Source organism: Homo sapiens, chromosome 17 (assembly GCF_000001405.40).
Source record: "Homo sapiens chromosome 17, GRCh38.p14 Primary Assembly".
Taxonomy (NCBI): Eukaryota; Metazoa; Chordata; class Mammalia; order Primates; family Hominidae; genus Homo; species Homo sapiens.
In genome coordinates this window covers 66,035,031-66,047,860 of record NC_000017.11, presented here as the reverse complement: position 1 = coordinate 66,047,860, position 12,830 = coordinate 66,035,031, and the positions used below count along the sequence as shown (strand labels likewise).

The following is a 12,830-nucleotide window of genomic DNA, read 5'->3' as shown; positions in this document are numbered from 1 at the left end:
TTGTACATTTAGAATCAATTTACCAAGTTAATAAAGAAAACAGTACTCTGGGGTCTTTAGGACATCTTTTGTAATATTTATTCCTGAGTCTCAAACTTTTGTTGTATAAAGTTTTATATTTCTGCTGTAGAAAAGACTCAAGAATAAATGTGTGTTAGAAATTTCAACCCTTTACATGTATGTAGCAAGTATTTTATAATTTATCATACACTGACTAGAACTTACAGAAAAATGTTAAATAATGGTGACAATAGTGGTTTTAAAATGAAAGTTTTTGTTATTGCAAAAAGATATACAAGCTCACTATTGAAACTTTAGAAAAGAGATGATGAAAAAGAAAAAAATTAATATCTACATAATAAAATTACTCTCTAATTGAAAGTATATGTGAATGTCCGTTCTTCTACATTTTCAAACCAAAGATGGGTGTTTTAATTAAAAACAGGCTGGGTGCAGTGGCTTTCGCCTGTAATCCCAGCACTTTGGGAAGCCAAGGTGGGCGGATCACTTGAGGTCAGGAGTTCGAGACCAGCCTGGCCAACATGGTGAAACCCTGTCTCTACTCAAAATACAAAAATTAGCCGGGCATGGTGGCGTGTGCCTGTAATCCCAGCTACTCAGGAGGCTGAGGCAGGAGAATCACTTGAACCCAGGAGGCAGGGGTTGCAGTGAGCTGAGATCATGCCACTGCACTCCAGCCTGGGCAACAGAGGGAGACTCCATCTCAAAAAAATAAATAAATAAAATAAAAATGAAAATAAAAATAAATAAAAACAAACCGAAAGTTGGCCAGTTTGATAGTTATGTTGATTTCCTAGGGCTGCTGTGGCAAATGACCACAAACCGAGTGGCTTAAAGCAACAGAAATTTATTGCCTCACAGTTTTGAAGACCTGAAGTATGAATGAAAGCAAGACACCAGCAGAACCTGCTTTTCTTGAAGGTTCTGGTAGAGGAAAATTCTTCTTGTCTCTGTGGAGCTTCTGGTGGCTGCGGGTGGTCCTCGCCATTTTCTGGCTTACAGCTGCAGCATGGCAGTCCTGCTGTCAACATTTGCATTTTCATTGTGTATTTCTGTCTCGATGTCTTCACATGGCCTTCTCATAATGACAGAAGTTGTTGGATTTAGGGCCCACCCTAATCCAGTATGATATCATTTTAACTTGCTTACATCTGCAAAGACACTATTTCCAACCAAATAAGGCCACACTCATAGGTACGGGAGATTGTCCTTCAACATATCTTTTTGGAGGACACAATTCAGCTCACAAAATAGGTAAAAAATGTGATTTAATTTTTGTTTTAATTATGTTATCACTTATAAATGAAAATATTAAAAATTAAACCATTGGATTTAAGAAGGAGAAAAGCTTAATATGCTCATGGAAGATCCTTATAAACGATCATGTTTTCTATTTTGTTTAGGTTGCTCAGAGTCAAATTTGGGACCCATTTTTAGTAGTTAAACACACTAGTATGGTGTATGCTTTCTTTGGGGACTATATTTTTAAAAACTTTTTGGCCGGGCGTGGTGGCTCACGCCTATAATCCCAGCACTTTGGGAGGCCGAGGCGGGCAGATCACAAGGTCAGGAGATTGAGACCATCCTGGCTAATACAGTGAAACCCCATCTCTACTAAAAATACAGAAAATTAGCCGGGCGTGGCAGCATGCGCTTGTAGTCCCAGCTACTCGGGAGGCTGAGGCAGGAGGATGGCGTGAACCCAGGAGGCGGAGCTTGCAGTGAGGAGAGATCGCACCACTGCACTTCAGCCTGGGCGACAGAGCGAGACTCTCTCTCAAAAAAAAAAGAAAAAGAAAAAAAAAACTTTTTAACGTCTGTCTTAGCAGGCAACTGGATTCTCATATCTGTCTTTGCATTTATTCTGTTGTGGTATCATGTGTCATGTAGCCTCTGGAAAACTCCACTGTACACTTGTGAGGAAATGATAGTGAAATAGGCAATTTATGTCTTTGTATAGTTATAGAAATAGTTTTGACCTTGTGGATCTACTAAAAGAGTCTTTGGGAAGCTCAGGAGTTTGTTGACCAAACTTTGAGAACTGCTGCTCTAAGCCACTGGCTTTCATTTCATTTTTGACCATGACTCCCAGTAAGAAATAAATTTAATAAATTATGCCCAGAACATACACAAGTACATATATGAGCACACATCTGTCTGCATATTTATAACTCAAACAAAAGTTTCATTTTTACTATTGGCCATTTACTCTAACATATTCTGTATTTTTCATTTTGTTTAATTTCATTTAAAAATTGCTGGGTTGTGATTTAAAACTTGATTTCACATGGATTGAGACCCACAATTTGAAAATCACTGCTTTAGGGAGTATGTATTTAAGAGTGTAATTTCTGTATCCATAGTAAGCTTTTCAAAGTGGTCATACCAGTTTATGGCACTGCTCAACAAGAGTAGGAATTGTCTTCACATCCTTGCCAAGACTTGGACTTACCAAATTTTAAAATATTTTGGCCAGGCATGGTGGCTCACGCCTGTAACCCCAGTACTTTGGGAGGCTGAGGCAGGTGGATCACTTGAGCCCAGGAGTTTGAGACCAGCCTGAGCAACACAGCAAGACCCCATCTCTACAAAAAATAAAAAAATTAGCCGGGCGTGGTAGTGCACGTTGTAGTCCCAGCTACTTGTGGGGCCGAGGTGGGAGGATTGCTTGAGCCCAGGAAGCCAAGACTGCAGTGAGCTATAATCACACCACTGCACTCCAGCCTGGGTGACAGAGTGTGACCCTGTTTCAAAAAAAAAAATTTTTTTTTTGTTTCTAGCTTGAAAAAATGTATTATTTTAATTTCCATTTCCCTTTTGGCTCTTACATTTCTTGGCCTTTTAAAATAGCCATTTCATCCCCTTTGTCTATTTTTAAATTGAGTTATTCTTTTCCTTGATTTATAGGAACATTTTATATATTTAGGATACAAATAAATCATCACATTCTTTTTCGTCATTCTTTTTTTATTGAATAGACGTAACATGAAATTTACCATTTTAATAATTATAAGTATATAGTTCAGTGGCATTAAGTACATTTACACTGTAGTGCAACTATCACTACCATCCAGCTCCAAATTTTGTCATCTTTCCTAATACTTTGTACCCAGTAAACAATAATTCTCCATTTGCCGTCTTTATTCAGTTCCTCACTTTTAGTCTCTTACGAATTTGACCATTCTAGGAAACTCATGTAAGTGGAATTATGCAGTATTTGTCCTTCAGTGACTGGCGTATTTCACTTCGCATAATGTCATTATGGTCCATTCATGTTGTGGCTTGTGTCAAAATTCCTTTTTAAAGGCTAAATAATAATTCCACTCTATGCATATACCACATGTGTGTCCATTCATTGGCAGATGGACAGTTGAGTTGCTTCTGCCTTTTGGCTGTTGTGAATAATGCTGCCGTGTACGTGGGTGTACAGATACCTCTTTGATATTTAAAGGCATGGACAAAAAACAAATTTAAATCTAAAATACATTTTCATTATTTCAACATTCTAAATCTTCACAAAGTGAATATATTTAATAAATATATTAAATAATATTACAATGGAAATTTGTAAAATATATTGCTTTGATGTTTATTGCATAGGTATATTTTATTTATTAAATAATATTGAGAGAAATATCATTCACAATGGAATTTTTAATTTTTATAAGTTTGGGATAAAAAGAAAAGTCATGCTTTGGAGCCAAGAGGTACCTGTCAGAGAACTTTCATTCTATTTTTAATGAAAGTTGAATTTTAAAAATTAGCATTCAAACCTTGTCATAGGTAATACTAGTAAATATAGAGAAACATGGACGGAGTCTGTCAGCAGGATTGAATTTAAGAATCGTCAAAAGTAGACAGGTCTTGCTGAGCAGCTCCTGATTTAATAATTAAACAAGGTAGAGTTCAAGGCCTGGCTTAAGATGAAAGACGGGACTGTCACTGAGAATCAGTTTCTCTGTTTTGCTGTTCTTTCAGGCTTTTTTCTTTTTTGTTGAGTCTAGTGTTGTCTTATTGCCATTTATTGTAAGCAGACACTTGTATAGATTATGAGACTTACGCATTTTGGTATTGGCAGGGATTTTCTTATGAGAAACTCATAGTGAAAATATGCAAACAATAGATTTTTAAAACAAATATTAAAACGTAAATATAAAAATTATAGCTTCCTTGCTAGATGCTTGGGAAGATGAAGGCTGTAAAATGATAGGGTCTATTGACATTAGGGTTTAGACACACTGAAAATCTGTGGGCGGCTTTATTGAGATTCTAGGCTTTCTTACTGGAGTTCTTAACATCTTTTGTACCATGGACCCTGCTGGGAATCTGGTGAATTCTGTGTAGTCCTTCTCAGAATAGTATTTTAAAAATAAAAGATTACAAAGAAAAATTATATTGAGTTACAGTTGTTAAAATATTCATAAATCAAAACTGTGATAAAGTAATACATATGCTTCTAAATTAATGCAGTAAATATCAAAATCTAGCAGTAGGCATGATAGTAATTTCTAATGAGGGTAAACAATGTATAGTGATTGCTCAGTAGTGTAATGAACTATAAAAATATCCATGATTTCTGTTTGTTCCAGGTATTGCTAATGCTACCTTTGTCTGATGACTACATTCACAATTGGGAAATGTTAACTTTCAGTTAGGGTGGTGAAAATGAAAGTGAACTTTAAAGAAAAAATTCAAATTCAGCGACAGTCTGAATTCCATCCATGATCCTCTATGGTAGGTTAAGGTAGGTTAAGATCCTTTACCTTAAAGAGTGCCAAAAGCCTTAGACATCTGAAATATTTAACTATGTTAGTAGTGACATATGATAATTCATAGAACTACTCATGGACACACTGAGATAGCTAGAATTTGATTTTATAGTTTCTATCACCATTTCTTCTCCCAAGCTCACAATGATTATAATCGAGAGAATCTCCAAATAGCACCAATTCATCATGTTGAATAAAATGACCATTTAAAAATAGACACTTTTTTTTAATAGTTTTAGATTTACAGAAAATTTAAGAAGATAGTGCAGAGAATTCCCATATAACCTGCACTCGGTTTCTCCTGTTTTTCACATCTTAGGTTATCTTGGTACACTTTTCACAATAAGTAAATCAATATTGATACACTATTAGCTAAAGTCTTTCATTTATTCAGATTTCCTTCGTTTTTACCTAATGTTGTTTCTTTTCCAGGATCTCATCTAGGATACCACATGACATTTAGTTGTTAGGCCTCCTTACTTTCCTCTTGGTTGTGATAATTTCTCAGACTGTCCCTGTTTTTTATCACTGTGACAGTTTTGAGGAGTATTGACTGGTTAGGCATATTGTAAAATGCCCATCTAGTAGAAACTGTCTGATGCTTTCCTCATGATTAGACTGGGGTTGTGGGTTTAGGCAGGAAGATCCTCAGAGTTAAAGTGCTATTCTCATCGTATCATATCATGAATACATATTATTATTATTTTATTATTTTATTTTGTTGAGACAGTCTCTCTCTGTCACCCAGGCTAAAGTGTAGTTGCACAATCTCAGCTCACTACAACCTCCGCCTCCTGGGTTCAGGTGATTCTCCTGCTTCAGCCTCCTGAGTAGCTAGGATTACAGGTGTGTGCCACCATGCCCAGCTAATTTTTGTAGTTTTCAGTAGAGACAGGGTTTTGCCATGTTGGCCAGGCTGGTCTCGAACTCCTGACCTCAGGTGATCTGCCTTCCTCAGTCTCCCAAAGTGCTGGGATTACAGGCATGAATCACCGTGCCCAGCCATGAATACATATTATCAACATGACATCATACCTGTGCATATTAATTTTGATCATCTGGCTGAGGTAGTGTTAATTAGGTTTCTCCAGTGTAAAGTTACTCCCCACCTTTCCATACTGTACTACTTGAAAGGAAGTTACCGTTTGGCAGCCCGTGTTTAAGAAGTAGGGAGTTTTACTCCCTGCTCTTGAGGGTGGGGTATCTATATAAATTTTTGGAATTTTTCTGCATGGGAGACTTTTTCTCCTTATTTATCAATTTATTCTATTATTTATTCATACTAATATGAGAATGTGGATATTTTTCTTATGCTTTGGGTTATAAGCCAATATTTCTTCATTTTGTTGCTCAAATTGTTCCAGCTTTGGCCATTGGGAGCTCTTTCATTTGACTTCTGTGCTTCTTGGACATGGCCCCATCAATACGGATTATATGGAGAAATGGTATTGGAAACCAATATCTGTGTGCTAGTTATGCATGCTGCGGTTGGGGTATCATTTCTCTTGCACCCTCTCACCTGACCAAGGAAATACTGACCTGTGTATACAGTATATACTAGCCTGTGTATACAGTAAGTCCTTATTTAATGTCATTGATAGGTTTTTGGAAACTGATTATAAGTGAAGTGACATATAATGAAACCAAATTTTTTTTCTCGTTATTATAATGAAATGATGTTATTTGAGGACCTGCTATACACTGTTTTGCTTAAAGGTGTTTTTTAATAAATTAACATTTAAACTCTGCTCTATTTGCCACTTAGGTCAAACATAATGTTTTTCCTTGTTTGACAAAAATTTTAATTTCCTACAATACTTATTTTGGTGATGGCTATATTTTTTGTTTCTCAATGTATATTCATTATATAATAATTCTAAAATCATTTTCTCCTTGTTCTTTTGAATTTTGGGGACTAGTAATATAGGATAATAGTTTTAATGAAAATTACAATTATTTACTTTTTTTTTTTACCAAGCCATTTACTGTGAAAAGTGGTTCTTTCAATAAATTGGTCAATTGAATATTCATATAGAAAAAATGCATCTTGAACCTTCACATCATTTAATAAACCCATTTTAGGAACATCTTAGAATTAAATGTGCAGATAAAATGATAAAACTTAAAGAGGAAATCTTAGAATATCTTCTTGGCCTGGACTAGTCAAAGGTTTCTTAAAAGGGAAATTAAATGTTTACCTTAAAGAAAGATACTAATAAATTAGGATATATTAAAATTAATACCTTTTGATCACCAAAGGTATCATTAAGAAAGGGAAAAGAGGCTGGCATGGTGGCCTATGCCTGTAATCCCAGCACTTTGGAAGGCCAAGGGAGGCAGATCACCTGAGACCAGCAGTTTGAGACAGCCTGGCCAACATGGCAAAACCCTGTATCTATTAAAAATACAACAATTCGCCAAGCGTGGTTGGCACATGCTGCCAGCTACTCGGGAGGCTGAGGCATGAGAATCTCTTGAACCAGTAGGTGGAGCCTGCAGTGAGCCGAGATTGCACCACTGCACTCTAGCCTGGGCAACAGAGCACAGCAAGACTCTGTCTCAAAAAAAAAAAAAAAGAAAAAAAGGGAAAAGGCAATTCAGAATGGAAGAAGATATCTGCAATTCCTTTATTCAATAAAGGTCTTGCATTTTAAATATAGAAAAAAATCATCAAGAAAAACAATTCAATAAAAAAGAGCAATGTATTTGAATAGGCAGCCCACAAAAGAAGCTATTCAGATGATTAATAAACACTTAAAAAGGTGCTCAAATTATTAATAGTCAGGGAAATGTAAATTCAGTATCTCTACATACCTACAAAAAGGGCTAAAATTAAAAAAACAAAATCACAGTACAAAGTTTTGACAAAGATACAGAATAGTCTGAAGTCTCATACACTGCTGTAAGAAGTTCAAATTTTTATATCCAGTTTGAAAAGCTCCTTGATAGTAACTACTGAGGCTTGACATAGGCACATCTTATGACAGCGGTTTCACTGCAACATGTATAACCAAAAGAAATCTGTACATGTGTGCATCATAAAACATGTATGAGAGTTTTCATAGCCACATTATTTTTAATAGTCAAAAACTGAAGACAACTCATCAATAGAATGGGTAAATTATTTTAGCATGCTATATACAGTACTGAAAAATATTACTCTTACATTCCACAACATGGATGAATCCCATAGGCATATAATATGCATGAAGAAGCCTGACCCCAAAAAGTTACATACTGTGTGATTCCATTTATACAAAGTTTGAAAAGGACAAAATTTATTTGTACTGATAGAGGTCAAAATAGTGGTTACCTTTGGGTGGAGGGTAACTAATAAGGCTTTAGGGAGGCTGGCAATGTTCACACTTCTAGTGGCTCATGAGTTTTCAATTTTTAAAAAAGTTATCAGAATTTATTTTTAAGATTTATGATTTATAACTTCACAAATCATAAACGTATGTATCTTTAAGACATAAGCACCTTTTGTTATAAATCATAAACTCTATCTTTAAGACTTATGCAGTCTTGCTCTGTTGCCCAGGCTGGAGTGCAGTGGCACACAAACTTCTTATGAAAATAGTCCTATTTTCATGGATAAATTCTTCTTCTTATGAAAATATGTCCTATTTTCATAAGAAGTTTGTGAAATAAGATAAAATTAGTTGCTCTTTTTGCCATAGGGGTTTGCCATAGGAGAACTGTGGATACCAAGTAGTTGCCTAATACTAACCCTTTTTAATTTTTAACTCCTACAAGGTTTCGAATTAAGTTTGTATGTAAAACTCCAACATTTATATCTCCAGTACTGACTTCTTATGTCAGTAGATGTTGTACGATGAAAAGACCATGAGACATTTTATATTTTCTAAGACTTAACTTATAGGAAATCAAACCTATGATAATTAATACCAAAATAATACCCTTTCCCAAATTTCCTCTTGTCAGTTGGCATCATCATCATTCTGTTGGCACATTAAATTTTGAACCTGGAAGATTTATGTTTTTCCCACTTTTCATCTCCCTTATTTAGTATGTTACAGAATCATCCATTTTACCTCTCTGAAAATTTTCCTGGATCTGCTCTCTTCCCTTCTGTTTCCACAGCTACCAATTGAGTCCTGGCCGTTGTTGCCTCATTCCTGACTCTTCCAGTAACCTGCCAATTACTCTTCCCTGTCTCCTCTTACTCCATAGCCAATAGATGCATTTTTTTCTAATTTTCCCATGATTAAGAATCTGAGTTCCTAGTATCATGCCTATTATAATTAATGCTTACAAGTTACATCAGTTCACGAAGTCCAACCTAGTTTTCCAAGTGCTACCTTTCAGTTCCCAATGTGGGAAGATATCCTGTTCATACAAGGTAATCTGTTCATCATTTTCTGTACAGTAACTTATTTCTTCCCTGATTCTGTTGTCATATACCACTGAATTCTGCTTCTGCATTGTCTGTTACAGCCGGCAAAACATAGTTCTACATCAGCATTCTTTTTCTTGACTAAGTTTTTACTCCATTTTAAGAACTCCACTATTTTGCATCCTCTCAGCTCTTTTATTCCGTTTAAAAAATTAATTTGGCAAATGTTGTTGTTTTTAAGATACTTTATATATGCCTATAGGCTTTCCCTTGATGTTATAGGTTCAAAATTTATGTACTTTGTGTGTAAAATTGTGTGTAGAACATTAGTGTTCAGAAAATGCTTTAAAAATCAAAAATAAAATGAATAAGTGACGTCACATAGTTTGCTTCTTCAGTCAGAAACTTGGCATCAGTATATACAAAAGTATTTGTTTGACAAATAGAGATCTTAATGCAAAGGCCACTTTTTCATTTCATGTAATACTTATCTGCATGTGAGAAAGCATGCCAGCTTCTAACAGCAGTTATGTCTTGGCAGGTGTTCACTGTTTGAATAAATCGTATCAGAATCTTCTTTTTTCTTTTCTTTTCTTTTCTTTTTTTTTTTTTTGAGACAGAGTCTTGCTCTGTTGCCAGGCTAGAGTACAGTGGCGCGATCTCAGCTCACTGCAACCTCCGACTCCCTGTTGTATCTGGTACAGCCCCAGGACTTCCTAACCTTATGTCAGCCTTCACAGACAGTACCAGCTAGATTGGTTTTGTCCATCTGGTGGGCCTCAGATATATAATAATCATATCTATGTATATACTTAAAATCTATATTATACATAACATTCTTTGAGTTATTTTCTGAAGAATTCTCAGGAGAAGTAGTCTTTTGACAAACCAGTAAAGTTTGGCCTCAGGTATGTTGTAAAATTCATTTTAAAAAGTAGTATGAGCCTGATGGAATATGGTGAGTAGTGTGCTGAAGGGACTGGTTCTGGGGCCTGTCCTTTTTATTTCTATTACTGATGAAGTAATTGGGAATGTACTTTTCATACTTTTATGGTACTAGAGTAAGAATTGTTGTTACGGAAAGACAAACATAATCTTGTAGTATTATAAGAAAAATCATCCTATGGAAGTCATGATAAAATTCAGGATGGGCAGTTTAATTTGTTGAAATGGGGGAAAGACTATGCATAAATACTGGAAAGAAGGATGATTTAATCATTACTTAGCATTATAGTTAGAATTGTTCAATGTAGTTTGAAATGCTAATGTCATAATACCGCAGTGACATTAGCATGACCAGCACGGGAGAGCCAGAGGAGAGAGGAGAGAACAGGGAGAGGAGAGAGAGAGGTGGTCACGGGAAGAAGGAGAGCTGGAGAGTGGATGGATATTGAAATGTTATTTTTAGAGCATTCTGGTTGTATATTTTAAAATTTAGTTCTTAAAAATTATTATATTTTAAACCTGATAACTTTTGACTTTATTAATCTAAGCTAACTAAAGTATATGTTTAAGAAATCATTGGATAATGAGCCACTTTTATTTCCACACATATTTAGGAGACATTTTATGGTAACAGATTATTTCTACTGGTCTGTTCCTTTAGCAAATAGATTATAATATCCCATTCATGAGTCTCATTTCTCCTGGAATGAGCATTTTAATAAAGGGGCTTAGAAATGAGTAGAATTTCACTAGCCAGCCCTTTATTATAATAGATTGTTCAAGGTAGAAAACACTACAACCTTCAAATTACACAATTAAAAAATATCTTATCTTGGGACTGATAATAATAGCAGTAATAATGTGGGAGGTTAAGAAAGAGACCTCAAGTATTGCAGTGTTGCATTTTAGCTTTTCTTTGTTTACTTTATGTTTTGAAATGATATGTCTACCCGAGGTATTTTTGCAAATTTATTTTATGTTAATTCCATGAGCAGAATATCAAAGTCCTGGAGAAGATGTAATGCAGTGGAATAGGTTTTGATTCAAGGAGATCTTGGATCAAATTCTTTTTTGCTGCTTACCAGTTTACCAGTAGGGCAACTGTGGCCACGTTAATCAATTTTCCTAAGTCCTAGTTTTTTCATATTTAAAATGATGTTAATGATACCTACCTCATAGTTTTGCGGGAAAGAGAAATGGCCTAAAGCTGGTAAAACACTTAGCACAGTGCCTGACCTATAATGAGGGTTCAGTGGTGGCTGTTGTCATTATATTCATCATCAAAATACGTCGGTGGTCCATGAAGCCTTGGTTATTGGGCAAGAATTTTACATGTATGCACATTTAATGTGGTGTTAAGTTTTAGCCATTGTTTTCTCTTTTTCTTTTTATTGTGGTAAAAACACATAGTGTGAGATCTACCCTCTTAACACATTTTTAAGGTACAATGCAGTGTTAGTAACTATAGGCACGATATTATTGGCATATCTTTAAAACTTTTTTGTCTTGCGTGACTAAAACTCTGTACCCATTGAGTAGCAACTTCCATTTTCCATTCTGTCTAGCCCCTGGCAATCATCACTCTACTTTGTTTATATGGGTTTGACTATTTCAGATATTTCCTGTAACTGGAATCATGCAGTGTTTGTCCCTCCTTGACTACCTTATTTCATGCAGCATAATGTTTTCAAGATTCACTCAAGTTGTAACATAAAACAGGCTTTCCCTTTTTAATGGCTGAATAATATTCCATTGCATGTATATACCACATTTTCTTTAGCTATTCATTCATCCATGGACATTTACATTGTTCAGGCTCCCCAGTGTGGATGTGTATTTGGAGGCTGACTTTCCCCCATCACACTTCGGGAGCTCAGTTTTTCGGCTGTCTTGTGGTGTTTGCAGTGGCAAGCTGTTTTATTCAAAGGGTCTGTGAATTCTTTTGGTTTTCCTGGTATGTTTCTGTGGTGGTTCTTGGAGCAAAAGTTCACAATGTGAGTCTCCAGATGCTGTTCTGTCCATCCAGGAGAGAGCTGCACATTAGTCCCATCTCCTATTCACCATTTTCTCTGGTTTATGCTATGCCGTTTATACATCTTGGCTATAGTGAATACTTTTGCATGGGAGTACAAATATTTCTTTGAGATCCTGACTTCAGTTCTTTTGGGTAAATAAGCAGAAGTGTGATTGCCAGATCATTTGGTAGTTCTATTTTTAAATTTTTGAGGTGCCTCCATACTGTTCTCCATAATGGTTATACCATTTTTCATTCTCACCAGCAGTGCACAAGGGTACCAGTTTCTCCACAACTTCACCAACAGTTGTTTTCTGTTGGAACCTGAAGGTTTGTCAACAGGTGAAGACAAATAAGGATGGGCAAGTAGCACGTTCACAGAGGTACTCACTTGTCGGTACTTACAATACATGCATATCCTCAAAAAGACTGGCCAGTAGTGCAGACCACAGCATTTAATAGGGCAATGAACAGGAACCACGTCCTCTCATAGTTCTGCTCCTTTTGAACAGGTACAGTCCTCGGGTTACCTATTTTAGTCACAAATCTCTTCCTTTCAGATCTGATAATTTTTTTCATCATTTTAATAATTCCTTAGTCAAAATTTCAAGTTCAGGCTGGGCGTGGTGGCACACGCTTGTAATCCTAGCACTTTGGGAGGCCTAGGTGGGCAGATCACTTGAGGTCAGGGGTTCAGGACCAGCCTGGGCAACGTGGCGAAACT

At 35.9% G+C, this 12,830-nt stretch overlaps 1 protein-coding gene across 22 annotated transcripts in view; it reads left to right on the top strand.

Annotated features, from left to right (window-relative positions):
- Window positions 1–12,830, top strand: part of CEP112 (centrosomal protein 112) — a 556,597-nt gene that overhangs the window by 144,273 nt on the left and 399,494 nt on the right. The window contains exon 1 of one of the 22 annotated variants that reach the window (XM_011524467.3): window positions 4,651–4,755. The exons of 20 other annotated variants lie outside the window; for them this stretch is intronic. In XM_011524467.3, the coding sequence (XP_011522769.1) occupies window positions 4,753–4,755 (3 nt within the window). In that variant the 5' untranslated portion in view covers window positions 4,651–4,752. Of the gene's footprint in view, window positions 1–4,650; window positions 4,766–12,830 lie in introns of those variants that run through there. One more of the 22 variants, XM_005257126.5, reaches the window with a different exon arrangement.